Raw genomic sequence first — 13058 nt, 5'->3', positions numbered from 1 at the left:
TTGGGGGTTTTGCAGGTTTCATATGGACCCATCTGGGACCTTTGTACAGTGTGATGCTCGAGCAATTGGCTCTGCTTCAGAGGGTGCCCAGAGCTCCTTGCAAGAAGTTTACCACAAGGTAATTAAGTATTCTCACAACTCTTACTATTTTTTTATCATGGTATAATTTACATATAATAAAATGTGCAAACCTTAAGAGTTCAGTTCTGTTTTGACAATTGCAAAACAAGATAAATAACACTTTCATCACCACCAGAAAAATGCTCATCCACATTCCAGTCAATCTCTTTCCCTCCCTTGCAACCATGTTTACCACCATGTTTACCACTCTCCATTAGTTTTGTCTGTTGTGCTTTGTTATAAATGGAATTAAACAGTTAGTCAGTTTGTATCTGTTTTGTTTAACACACTGTTTTTGAGATCCATTCATGTTGTTCCAGTATTTCCGTTTGATGGCTGAGTAATATACCATGGTATGGATGTACCACAATATGTTTATCCTCTATATTCACAGCTTTACTTAGCACTTTACAATTGGCTCTTGAAGCAAGTGGGCATTTGGTATTTTCTTTGTGAGATGGGAAGATTTGGTTTTGGGTAACTCATTGGTGTGATTGAAGGCTGCTCTACTTATTCAGGTGGTTCATACAGGGATGCCTGCTCACATTAGCTCCTAATGGTATTGCTTTTACATGTGGAAGAAATTAGGTACAAAACAGGGTAAATTTGAATTTTCTAAACCATTGGGCTACCTCTTAGATCATTTGGGCATTATTGTTCATTGGATATTACCAATAATATTATCTTCTAAATTAAAAGAGGAATTCAAATGTACACAAGACTAGTCTATCCCTTTCCCCTTCTTCAAAGATTACTTTGGTTGGTGACTTTATTGTGGCTCACAATAAGGTTTGGGGGTTTTTTTTCCTGAAAAAATGTATTCTACTTATTTGCCATTTACTTGAGTTCTGGAGATACTTGTAATGCACCATACTAAGTAAGATGTTTGACATACTTGCTAAATACTTTTTTCAGTGAGATAAAGGGAAAATCTTTGAAGGAAGGACGGATTGTGCATAATTAATAGGCATCTTCTTGCCTTCTTTGTTTCAAGTCTATGACTTTGAAAGAAGCCATCAAGTCTTCACTCATCATCCTCAAACAAGTAATGGAGGAGAAGCTGAATGCAACAAACATTGAGGTACTTTCTGTTTTATTGTTGGATTTTTTTCGGTTTTTTTTTTAAGAGATGAGGTCTGGCTATATTGCCTAGACTGGTCTTGAACTCATGAGTTCAAGTAGTCCTCCCACCCCAGCCTCTCGAGTAGCTGGGACTACAGGTGCACACACCATGCCTGGTTAATGTTTTTTAATTTTTTTAGAGATGGGGTCTTGCTGTGTTGCCCAGACTGGTCTTAAACTCCTGGCCTCAGGCAATTCTCCTGCCTCAGCCTACTGAGTACCTGGGACTATAGGTGAGAGCCACTGCACCTGGCTGTTTTATTGTTTTTTATTCAGATATCATAGCTGGCATTGCTGAAGACTACATAGATCATGGAAATGACATTTTTGTATGTTTAGTTCCTAAGAAATTATTAACAGCCTTTGAATAATAAGCAGCTTCAGTAAAGTGGTGCTGGCAGAAGCCAGAATTCAGTGAGTTAAAGAATGAGGCCTGGCGAGGTGGCTCACGCCTGTAATCCCAGCACTTTGGGAGGCCAAGGCAGGCAGATCACTTGAAGCCAGGAGTTCGAGACCAGTCTGGCCAGCATGGCAAAACCCCGACTCTACCAAAAATACAAATACTAGCCAGGTGTGGCGGCACGCACCTGTAGTTCCAGCTACTCGGGAGGCTGAGGCATCAGAATTGATTGAACCCAGGATTTGGAAGTTGCAGTGAGCTGAGATTGTGATACTGCGCTCCAACCTGGGCGATAGAGCGAGACTCTGTCTCAAAAATAAAATAAAAAGAATGAAAGGGAGATGATGAGTGGAGAAAACAATAGTATGCTGCTTTCTCAAGAAGTTTGATTAGTGTCAGCAGAAGATAGCATTAAAGAAAAGGATTGTGTCTTTTTTAGGATGTGGAAAAGTCTTGAAAATATAAACGGAGATGAAACTAGTGTATAGAAAAATGTTGAAAGAGTTGGGCGCAGTGGCCTGTAATCCCAGCACTTTGGGAGGCTGAGACAGGTGGATCGCTTGAGGGCAGGAGTTCAAGACCAGCCTGCCCAACATGGTGAAACCCCATCTCTACTAAAAATACAAAAATTAGCCAGGCGTGGTGGTGGACGCCTGTAATCCCAGCTACTTGGGAAGCTGAGGCATGAGAATCACTTGAACCCGGGAGGTGGAGGTTACAGTGAGCCGAGATTGCACCACTGCACTCCAGCCTGGGCGACAGAACGAGACTCCGTCCCGAAAAAAAAAAAAGCTGAAAGAAATAAAAGGAGAGGTTAGGATAGTGATGGAAAAGTTATAGAAGAGGTAAGGCATGGTACACATGAAGGAGTTGGTTTTGAAAAGTAAAATTCATTCAGCATCATATTGAGTACCCATTATATAGCAGGTATTATGCTAGATGCCCAGGGTTACAGACACAGAAAATCCAATTCCTATTCAAGTAGTATACTGTGTAGTGCAGGGAACATATAGATAATAAGAACCTGGGGTGATACTTCTATAATAGCAGTAAAAACAGATTCCTGTGAGTATGTATAACTTAGACTAAAGCATTAGGGAAGCTTCTTGGAAGAGGTGATGTCTGGAAAAGGGAGCAGAAAGGTATTCCAGGAAGACGGGACAACATGTGCAAAGGGTTCAAGATGTAAAAATAATATTGTGGGTAAAGGAAACTTTGAGGTTTTGTCTGACTGCTGAGGTGTGGGATGTATATAAGATGGTGGGGGACGGTAAGGGATGAGACTGGAGAGGTATGGACCAGCTTGGGAATGTCCTTTTTTAGTATGCTAAGAGTAGACAGGAGCAAAGGAAGTAATGACGAGTAAAGATAGGTGGGTTTGGCGGTAAACCTGGAGAGATGTCCCACATTTCCCCAGATTTTTCCTAGTGATTGTAAAGTCATCTGCCGAGGGTAGGTGAATGCAACAGTAAAATTGAGAATGGGAAATATTTGGAAAAGTTGTTATGAGAAGACAGGGAAGAGTAAAAGGATTGCTGGGCCATATTAAAATCGTAGTTGAGGCCAGTAATCCCAGCACTTTGGGAGGCCAAGGCAGGAAGATCACGTGAGGCCAGAAGTTCGAGACTAGCCTGGCCAACATAGTGAAACCCCGTCTCTACTAAAAAAATACAAAAAATTAGCTGGGTGTGGTGGTGCGTGCCTGTAATCTCAGCTATTCGGGAGGCTGAGGCATGAGAATTGCTTGAACCTGGGCAGTAGAGGTTGCAGTGAGCTGAGATTGCACTCCAGCTGCACTCCATCCTGGGCAACAGCACGAAACTCTGTCTCAAAAAATAAATAAATAAAATTTAAAGGCCAACCAAGGCTGTAATTATATATCAGTAATTAAACCAATCAGTACTTACCAGGATATTTGTTGACCACACTCATGAGAAAATGGATGGTTGGATTAATCCATGGTAGGGGATTGACTAGTTAAGAACAGAAGATTAGAGAGGACTGGAGAGTATTGTTGGTGAATGTCTCACCCATAGAACCAGCTTTCATAGGCTGCTGTGAAAGGTCAGTCTAAGAAGGACTGACATTTGGGAGCCACTGCGCTAGAGCCCATCTGCTTTAAGTTCTTAGTCCATTAGTTGTTCCTTGGAGCTCCAGCCTCCCTACATGAACTGCTTCCCCTAAGAAAAGGAAAATATCCGGCCAGGCGTGGTGGCTCATGCCTGTAATCTCAGCACTTTGGGAGGCCGAGGCTGGCGGATCACGAGGTCAGGAGATTGAGACCATCCTGGCTAACAGGGTGAAACCCCTTCTCTACTAAAAATACAAAAAAAATTAGCCGGGTATGGTGGCGGGCGCCTATAGTCCCAGCTACTCCAGAGGCTGAGGCAGGAGAAGTGTGAACCCGTGAGGCGGAGCTTGCAGTGAGCCGAGATCATGCCGCGCCACTGCACTCCAGCCTGGGCGACAGAGCGAGACTGTCTCAAAATATATATATATATCCAAGTTACATCTTACATCTTTCTTTTTAAGAAAATCTTTATATGTACCTCCTTCTGTCGAGTGTCCTTACTTTCAATGAACTTTTTTGAGATATAATTTATATACAGTAAAATGTACCTATTTTAAGTTTACAATTCAGCGGATGTTGACAAATGTACAACCCCCAGTATCTGTCACCCCAGTCATTATATTGATCCTCCCAAAAAGTTCTCTCATGTCCCTTTGTAGTCTCTTCCCCCACATTGATCTACTTTTTGTCACTATAGATTTGTTTTGTGTTCTAGAATTTCATATAAATGTTTTTGTTTGTTTTTTTAAGAGATGAGGTCTGGCTGTATTGCCTAGACTGGTCTTGAACTCATGAGCTCAAGTAGTCCTCCCACCCCAGCCTCTCGAGTAGCTGGGACTACAGGTGCACACACCATGCCTGGCTAATGTTTTTTAATTTTTTTAGAGATGGGGTCTTGCTGTGTTGCCCAGACTGGTCTTAAACTCCTGGCCTCAGGCAGTTCTCCTGCCTCAGCCTCCTGAGTAATTGGGACTATAGGTGATTATAGGGACTATACTTCTTTCACTTGGCATGATTTTGAGATTCACCTGTGTTGCATCAATTCTGTTACATTTCATTGCTGAGTGCTATCTCATCCATCCTATTTTTTCACCTTTATTGCCAAGTCTCCTCCAAACAGAACCTGTATTATCTCCACTGCTTCACCTCTCATTTACTCCTCAATCACTACTATTTGTTTCAGCTTTTATTATTTCCATGAGACTGCTCCTTGCTAAGATAACTCTTATTTGTCAGATTTCATGGTCACTCTTTGGAACTATCATTTGACTTTTTTGAAGGATTCACCTCAGATTTGACAGTTCTAAAATTAAAATCATTATCTTTCCTAAAAACCATTTCATCTTCCCATATTTCTAATCTTGGTTGATGACACCCCCAGGGTACTTGTCATTCACACGAGAAACCTGGAAGACTTTGACTTTCCTTCCCTTTTACTCAGTCATTTCTTTGCTCCCTTATAAATAACTCCCAAATCCATGTCCCTTCTCCATCCCTACTTCCAGTGCCGCCTTTTGTTCAGGTTCCCATTTTTCCCCTACCTTGTATATTTTCAGAGGCTTCCTAATTAATCTTGCCCTCCTCCATTTCAGTCCATTTTTTCCTCATTGTGCTACTATAGTGGATTTTCTAAGCTATATCTAATCTTAATGGTTCTCCACTTAAAAAATATTTTCTGGCTGGACATGTGGCTCACACCTGTAATCCCAGCACTTTGGTAAGCCAAGATGGGTGGATCACTTGAGGCCAGGAGTTCAAGACCAGCCAGGCCAATATGGTGAAACCCCTGTCTCTAATAAAAATACAAGAAATTAGCTAAGCACGGTGACATGTGCCTGTAATCCCAGGTACTTGGGAGGCTGAGGCATGAGAATTGCTTGAACCCAGGAGGCGGAGGTTGCAGTGAGCTGGAATCACGCCACTGCACTCCAGAGCGAGACTCTGTCTCAAAAAAAAAAAAAAAAAAAACCTTTTCTGACTTCTATTGTCTGTGAGATAAATTCCAAAATTCTTTTCATGGCATAATTCACTACTTCTTAAGTCATTTGTTTAATCTATTAGAGACTTTGCTAAGCATTTTACATGCAATTACATCTCTTAATCTTCACAACACTTCTATGAGATAGATATTCCTATTCCGAAAATCTTATTTTACAGAAGAGGAAACTGGCTTTGAGACGGTAGGGCCAACAGGTAAATGGTAGAGTCAGGATTTGAATCCAGGTCTGGTCTTAGGTCTTATACTTTTAACCACTTTAACGTACTGTCTCCCATGAGCTCTGACCCCCTACTCCCTCTCCTTTTCACGTCATATTCCATGTGCAAGCTGTGGTCTAGCCATACAGAATTACTTTCAGTTTTGCAAATATGTCGTGTTCTTTTGTGGTTCTGTGCATTTGCACATTGTTTGCCCTTCCTGTCTTTGACTGTCTGACCCATTCTTGCCATGCTTTAATACACAACTCAAAAGTTGCTTCTCCCTGAAGCCTTCCTGGGCTCCTCCAGATCACTCTTAAACATATTCTTAGTTCTATTACAACACTTACCTGACATTGAACACATTTGGCATCTAGCACTTAGTAAATAAAGACTTTCTTCATCTTTGGATCCTTAGTCACAAGTACATGTAACTAATACACAGGTGCTTAGTAATTAATTATTGGTGAAATAAATTGAAAGAAAATATCTGTTCTACCTGCCTCATAGAGATGTTTTTTGAAAGTGAGATAATAAATAGAAAAGTATCTTTCATATTATGCAAATACATTTATTATTATGCAAATGTAAGGGATTATTTTTACTTATCTAGTGATGAGCAACTTCCTGAAGGCAGTCCTTGGCTCAGACGCTATTATTAATAGTATTGATTTGCGTTCCAGTTCTTCTGTAGGACTGTTCCACTCAGAGTTTTCCCAGTTTCTGCTTTTTAGCCCCTGTAATGTTTTGAGAAGGCTAGCCTGAGTCATGAGTGAAATTCTTTAGGCCCTCACTCTTTAGATTATTGCTCTTATATTTCTCTGTCCTCATGTCATTGATCATCAAGTAAAGATATATCTTAAGAGAAGCAGTAGTAACATTTTTATTTATTTATTTATTTATTTATTTGAGACAGGATCTCACTTTGTTGCCTGGGCTAAGTGCAGTGGTGCGATCTCAGCTCACTGCAACCTCCACATCCCATGTTCGAGCAATTCTTGTGCCTCAGCTGGGCCTACAGGCGTGTGCCACCATGCCCGACTAATTATTGTATTTTTAGTAGAGACAGGGTTTTGCCATGTTCACCAGGCTGGTCTCGAACTCCTGACCTCAAGTGATCTGCCTGCCCCAGCCTCCCAAAGTGCCATAATTGAAGGAATTACAGGCTACCACGCCTGGCCAAGAGAAGCAGTAATAATATTTGTATGTTTAAATATCCTTGGAATGGAACTCATGGTCTACATGGTAAACTAATTGTTTACCTATATTTTGCAGATATATTTGGGACTTTTCTGACATTTCATGTAATTAGAGATATATCTTTTAGGAGAATCTAGAGGAGACTACAAGCTTTGAGAGGAGAACTTTTTTTTTAAGTCTGTTCCCAGATATCAGATGTCTTAAGACTTGCAGCAGTCTTTCTGAATTTTACTTATAGATGAGGCAGAGGATACTAAACATCATATAACTGGATTATGCTGATTCTCTCTAGCAACTTTCAAGTTACATTAAATATTAGTACTGAAAATTACTTTAAAATGCCCTACTATATTTAATTTTAAAAAATTATTATTAATTAATTTATTGTTTTAGACAGAGCCTCTTTCTGTCACCCAGGCTGGAGTGCAGTGGGATGATCACAACTCACTGCAGCCACAACCTCCCAGGGTTAAGCAATTCTCCCACCTCAGCCTCCTGAGTACGTGGGACACAGGCGTTTGCTACACCCCCTGCTAGTTTTTGGGGTTTTTTTTTTTTGGTAGACACGGGGTCTCCCTGTGTTGTCCAGGCTGGTTTTTGACTCTCGGGCTCAAGTGATCCTCCCGCCTCAGTCTCCCAAAGTGCTGGGGTTACAAGCATGAGCTACTGTTTCCAGCCATGTGTTTAATTTTAAAAATTGAAGAAAAAAGACACTATGAGGAAATGACATGTAAAACACAAATCTTTTGAGGCAAATGTGAAGTGGCACCTATTGCTCAGTATTGCCCAAAACTGTGGGACATGATCAACAGAGAGAATGGAAAACCTAGTCATGATAGTTAAATTTGAAATTAACCATCTTCTGACCCTAGTTTTTTATTGTTGTTGTTGCTTTTAAATGTAAATATAATCTGGATTTCCAGTTATTACTGATATCTTCAGCAGTCACAACTGGTTTCCTATGCCAGTGTTAATGAAATCTTTTCTTGGCCAGTTCTTTTAAAAAAACGTAACAGGCCAGGTGCAGTAGCTCACATCTGTAATCCTAGCACTTTGGGAAGCTGAGGTGGGCAGATCACCTGAGGTTGGGAGTTCGAGACCAGCCTGACCAACATGGAGAATCGCCGTCTCTACTAAAAATACAAAATTAGCCGGGTGTGGTGGCGCATGTCTGTAATCCCAGCTACTCGAGAGGCTGAGGCAGGAGAATCGCTTGAACCCGGGAGGCGGAGGTTGCGGTGAGCCTAGATCACGCCATTGCACTCCAGCCTGAACAACAAGAGCGAAACTCCATCTCAAAACAAAACCAAAAACAAACAAAAAAAACTTTTTTGTTAAGTTTTGCCACATAAACAATTTTAGAGAAAATACCTGACAATAGTTAATGATTATTTGTTGTAGGCAATAATGGTCTAAGCACTTTATATATATTAACATTTAATCCTCACAACTACTCTATGAATTAGCTATTCTTATTGTCCTCATTGTACAGATGAAGAAATAGAGGCACAGAGTGGCCAAGTAACCTCAAGTCACACACACAAGCTCAACTTTTAAGTATTTAAATATACTTCAAATATATTTCTAAAGGAGTCTTTAACAGAAAAAAGTACTGACTCCATGTACTTTGCTGCTGCTTTTGTGATCCCTGTTGAAGTGACTTCAAGAAGTGACAATGATGCCAGGCATTTGGTTAAGTATGATGTGGTGAGTTAACCTTAAAATAGAAAATTTGGTCAATAAGCATTTTTATTTTGGAGCCAGAGAGCTATTTTAGGGACCTGCTGCCTGGAAAGGATATCCTTGGGACAGCAGATCCCTTAGTTCCTAATGAATAGCTGCATCACCAACACAGCTTCTCCTGACCATGGTAGGGCCATCAGCAGGGTAACTCAGCCCAGCTTATTAACCCTTCTGTTTTCTTTCCAGCTAGCCACAGTGCAGCCTGGCCAGAATTTCCACATGTTCACAAAGGAAGAACTTGAAGAGGTTATCAAGGACATTTAAGGAATCCTGATCCTCAGAACTTCTCTGGGACAATTTCAGTTCTAATAATGTCCTTAAATTTTATTTCCAGCTCCTGTTCCTTGGAAAATCTCCATTGTATGTGCATTTTTTAAATGATGTCTGTACATAAAGGCAGTTCTGAAATAAAGAAAATTTTAAAATATTTGTTAATAGACTGTTCTCTTCTAATAGTCTTTTTTTTTTTTTTTTTTTTAAGAGATGAGGTCTCACTATATTGCCCAGGCTGGTTTCAAACTCCTGGGTTCAAGTGATCTTCCCGCCTCTGCCTCCTGAAGTGCTAGGATTATAGGCGAGAGCCACTGTGCCCAGCCATTGTAATACAGTCTTTTGTTTGAAATGCAAATGTTAGTGGGCCAAAAGGACAGTGTTATTAATATCCCTATTCTATGAAGATGTCTGTTCTAAAACTGTTTTAGTGATGCTCTATAACAGAATCAACTATATCCATTAATCCCATGGTGTTGATAAATGAACTAGTCCAGCTCTTCCCAGTGGTTAATAGATGTTAACAGCACTGTAAATCCATTTCGGCCCTATAATTTCTGGAGCAAACGTGTATTTTTGCTGCTTTTCTTATAAGGAGATGCTACTAATTGACTATCAGAAGAACATGTTTTGAGGTCCTCCTCAAAACATTGATGGGTTGGAATCAGCCATCAACAGTGTTGTACCAGTTCTTGGGTCTTGATAGACAATTTGGAAAGAGATTTCCTTGTTTACGAAGTGAAGGACTAAGAATTAAATTAATGACCTTGGCCTCACTGGCAATCAATTACAAATCTCTATATCAGTAAGAGAATTGTAAAATTCAGAAGCAGTTTACATTAGACTTTGGAATGAATGATGAACTTTCCCCATTAGAGCTGCCATCATATGATTGGTGGAGATTGTTTAAAGAATCATTCTATCTCAGCCTCAAAAATTACCACGGGAAGATGGTATCAGTATCACTACTTAACAGATGAAGAATCTAATGCTGTGTGCCCATGGACACACAAAATTAAGCTGTTGGGACTTGAACAGCTCAAATTTTCTTGTTTCAGATCACCAGCTCTTGAGTAATAGGGAAATCTGGAGATTTGAAAAGTACTTGCACTGTCCACAACATGGCTAATCCATATGTGGATGATGCAGAATTGATTTAATTCACTAACAGGGACCCCATAATTATTTGCTGGGCTCTGGGTATATTGATGTGTAGGAAGTTGTACTATATGTTAATAAATTATGACTATTTGGATAGGCTGAATTCATACTAAATCCATACTGTAGTTCAACAAAAAACAACATGTTTATATACATTTGGAAACTGCAATGATAGGAAACATTTGGAAGAAAGGGATTTTGCCCTAGAATAACACATAAGGAAAGCAGAGAATTAGAGTATATTGTTACTGAATGTTCCAGAGACTTCTAGTGATTTTAACACTTATTAAGTATAGCATGTTGATGGGGAGATTTGTTTCTCTAAAGATCACTTTGTTTTATTAAATCCTAATAGAAAATACCCTTGAAAATCCTATCTCATTTATTCCTGTAACAAATTTATTGAGCACCTACCTACTATATGCCAAGAAATGTATTAGCCATCAGGCAGAGAGCTGTTCAAATGGTAGATATGATCTGTGCTCCTGTGAAACTTCTAGTGGGGAGAGCCAAACAATAAACAATATTCCTTTTTAACTCTAGGTTAATGCAGAAATGGATAAAGCCCATGTTGCTTTTGGGAGAGGTGAGTTGTGTCTCTGAATCACATGCATTTCATAGGGGGAAAAATGCCCAAATACTAAGGAGTAGCTCTTAGCCTATGTCCGTTCGCCTCAGCTTAAGTTGTTTTCCCTCCCACTGGCTGGGCAGCATATTTGTGTTTTACCTGGTAAAACAGTAAATTTCGTACCTTCTATAATTGGCATTCTTCAAAGAGGTAGAACTTTGATTTTTTTGTAGAATATTAAAACAAGCTTTCTTAGGTTAAAGAAGTGATCTTACTACGAACAGCAATGGTTTCATGATGTGTAATTGCTTTATGTTATCTTTCTGCTATAGAATGTTTCCTGGAGAAAGGTACGGTTTTTAGTAATAAGATAAATTTACTTTAGTCCTGCAAATAAGGTGAAATCTTATGTCCAGTATCTCACAAAGGAGAACTGACAGTGCCACTTTTATATTTAATGTCAATCTCATTAGACAAAAATGAAATATAGTTCCTAGGGTTTCCAATTTAAAAAGTGAAATAATAAATATATTCACTCAAACATTTTCTCAGTGCCATATGCAAGTTACCATGTCCCAGAAGCTGATACAGTTTGAAGAAGGAAATATATAAGTACTGTAAGCCTGTGATAACTAAAAGCAACATACTAAAAAGTGAAGGTACAGATAATTGGAACAAATTTAATAGCGTTTAAAAGTGTATTTGGTAATTTCTCCAGGAGGTGGCACTGTTGAGTTGTTTTTTCTTTTCAGACAGTAAGACAATAGACCATTCATCTTTGTGTCACCCAAACAAAGAAATATTCCTTTATAACCCCCTTTCCTCCCCCCACCTAATCACATGCTACTGGAACTGACTGTCTTGTGATCTACTCCCATAGTTGGCATAGATTTAAAAATAATCTTTTTTAAATTAATCTGATAGTAGTTATGGAAAGGAACAAATTGTTCACCAATTTTCATCAGCTTTATCTTTTCAGTCCAGTAACTGAGAACTTAAAAAGACTATTCTAGTGATTTTACTATCCTGCTCAGATGGCATTCAAAAACATTTTTCACTTCTCACGTCTTGGAAAAATTTGTAAATTCGTTAAGTCTTTTTGTTTGAAAGTTAATGTGACTGGAAATATTTTAATGTAAATATCGGGTTGGGTGCATTGTATCATTTTGCTCTACAATGACTATATCCTCATTTGGGTTTATGGCCAGTTTATAATTAAAAGTAATCTTTACTTGCTTTGAGTGTAATGACTTGCATATTTTGTATCTTTCTATTTGCTACCTTTTCTACTGAACAATTTCTAGCTTTCTGAAGGGATGGAGTCAGTAAGCTTAAGGATTCAGAACTGGTTTTACCTGTGCTACGTGTTGTAGAAGTTGTGTGTGCAGCTTCTGCGGTAAAGGGAACAGCGTAGGGGTTTTATTTTATTCATTAGAGGTGGATCGGGGTGCTAATTTAGAGGACATCACATACTGGAACCAAACTTGTCCGAAGCTCTCACTGCAGAGTTAAGGCACTTTGGTAAAATAAATGTGCATCTAGGAAATGATCATGTGTACAGTAGGCATTGGATCATTCTCTTGCCCCTCTTTTACCTGCCCCTAATGCCTAAGCTACATTCGAAGTCCTGGAAAACCTGTAAGTAATTCCGCCTTTGGCCTACCTCCCCTCAGAAGAGGAAGGTGAGAGAGGCCAAACGTATGGAAAGACTATTCTTCAGGCTTGCAGGAGTCACGGATGTCCTGATGTCTGTCTCCGTAGGATGTGGCCCACATCAGTTCGCATTCACCTTCTTGCAGCAAGGCAGCTGCTTAGCAGACAATGGGCGCTCCAGTGAGCGGGGTTTATAAAAACCCGAAGCCCCGGTTCATGATGGAGCCCCCTTTTCCAGCTGAGCAAGCTCAGGGATTTCCTGGGTAGGTTTTTCCAGGCTCTGCCTCACCGAAGGAATTTTAGGAGTGTCTCTGGGGAACAGGAGGGACGTAACCCAGCCCCAACTTGAGGGCGCTAGAGGTGCGGCAAGGGGTCGCGACGCCAGGAGCCCGGGGCTCGGCGGGAAGGTATGAGAAGCTCCTACGTGAACTCCACAAGCCGGGCCCGGGAGACGCCGGGCGAGGCGGGGTTGACCTCAGCAGTCTCTGCCCCGTTCCAGCCAATCAGTCCCGCATCTTAGCATCCGAATCCAGGACCCCCGAAGCCGGAGGCGA

The 13058-nt window shown here is 40.3% G+C and overlaps 1 protein-coding gene across 4 annotated transcripts in view, besides 1 other annotated feature; it reads left to right on the top strand.

Moving 5' to 3' along the window:
* The window catches only part of PSMA5 (proteasome 20S subunit alpha 5), a 27407-nt gene extending 15320 nt beyond the window's left edge, over nucleotides 1–12087 (top strand). For all 4 annotated transcript variants that reach the window (NM_001199774.2, NM_001199773.2, NM_001199772.2 and 1 more), the window contains 3 exons: nucleotides 16–118; nucleotides 1115–1201; nucleotides 9039–12087. In NM_001199774.2, the coding sequence (NP_001186703.1) occupies nucleotides 16–118; nucleotides 1115–1201; nucleotides 9039–9116 (268 nt within the window). In that variant the 3' untranslated portion in view covers nucleotides 9117–12087. The remainder of the gene's footprint in view (nucleotides 1–15; nucleotides 119–1114; nucleotides 1202–9038) is intronic.
* Nucleotides 12077–13058: an enhancer, noted in NCBI's record as "H3K27ac hESC enhancer chr1:109940693-109941674 (GRCh37/hg19 assembly coordinates)". NCBI's record gives its function as "activates a minimal SCP1, AML or CMV promoter by ChIP-STARR-seq in naive H9 embryonic stem cells {active_cell/tissue: H9 hESC(naive)}" and the evidence as "EXISTENCE:reporter gene assay evidence [ECO:0000049][PMID:30033119]".

This window comes from Homo sapiens, chromosome 1, assembly GCF_000001405.40.
Source record: "Homo sapiens chromosome 1, GRCh38.p14 Primary Assembly".
NCBI lineage: Eukaryota > Metazoa > Chordata > Mammalia > Primates > Hominidae > Homo > Homo sapiens.
The sequence above is the reverse complement of the archived record's forward strand: the minus strand, read 5'-3'. Positions and strand labels throughout refer to the sequence as shown.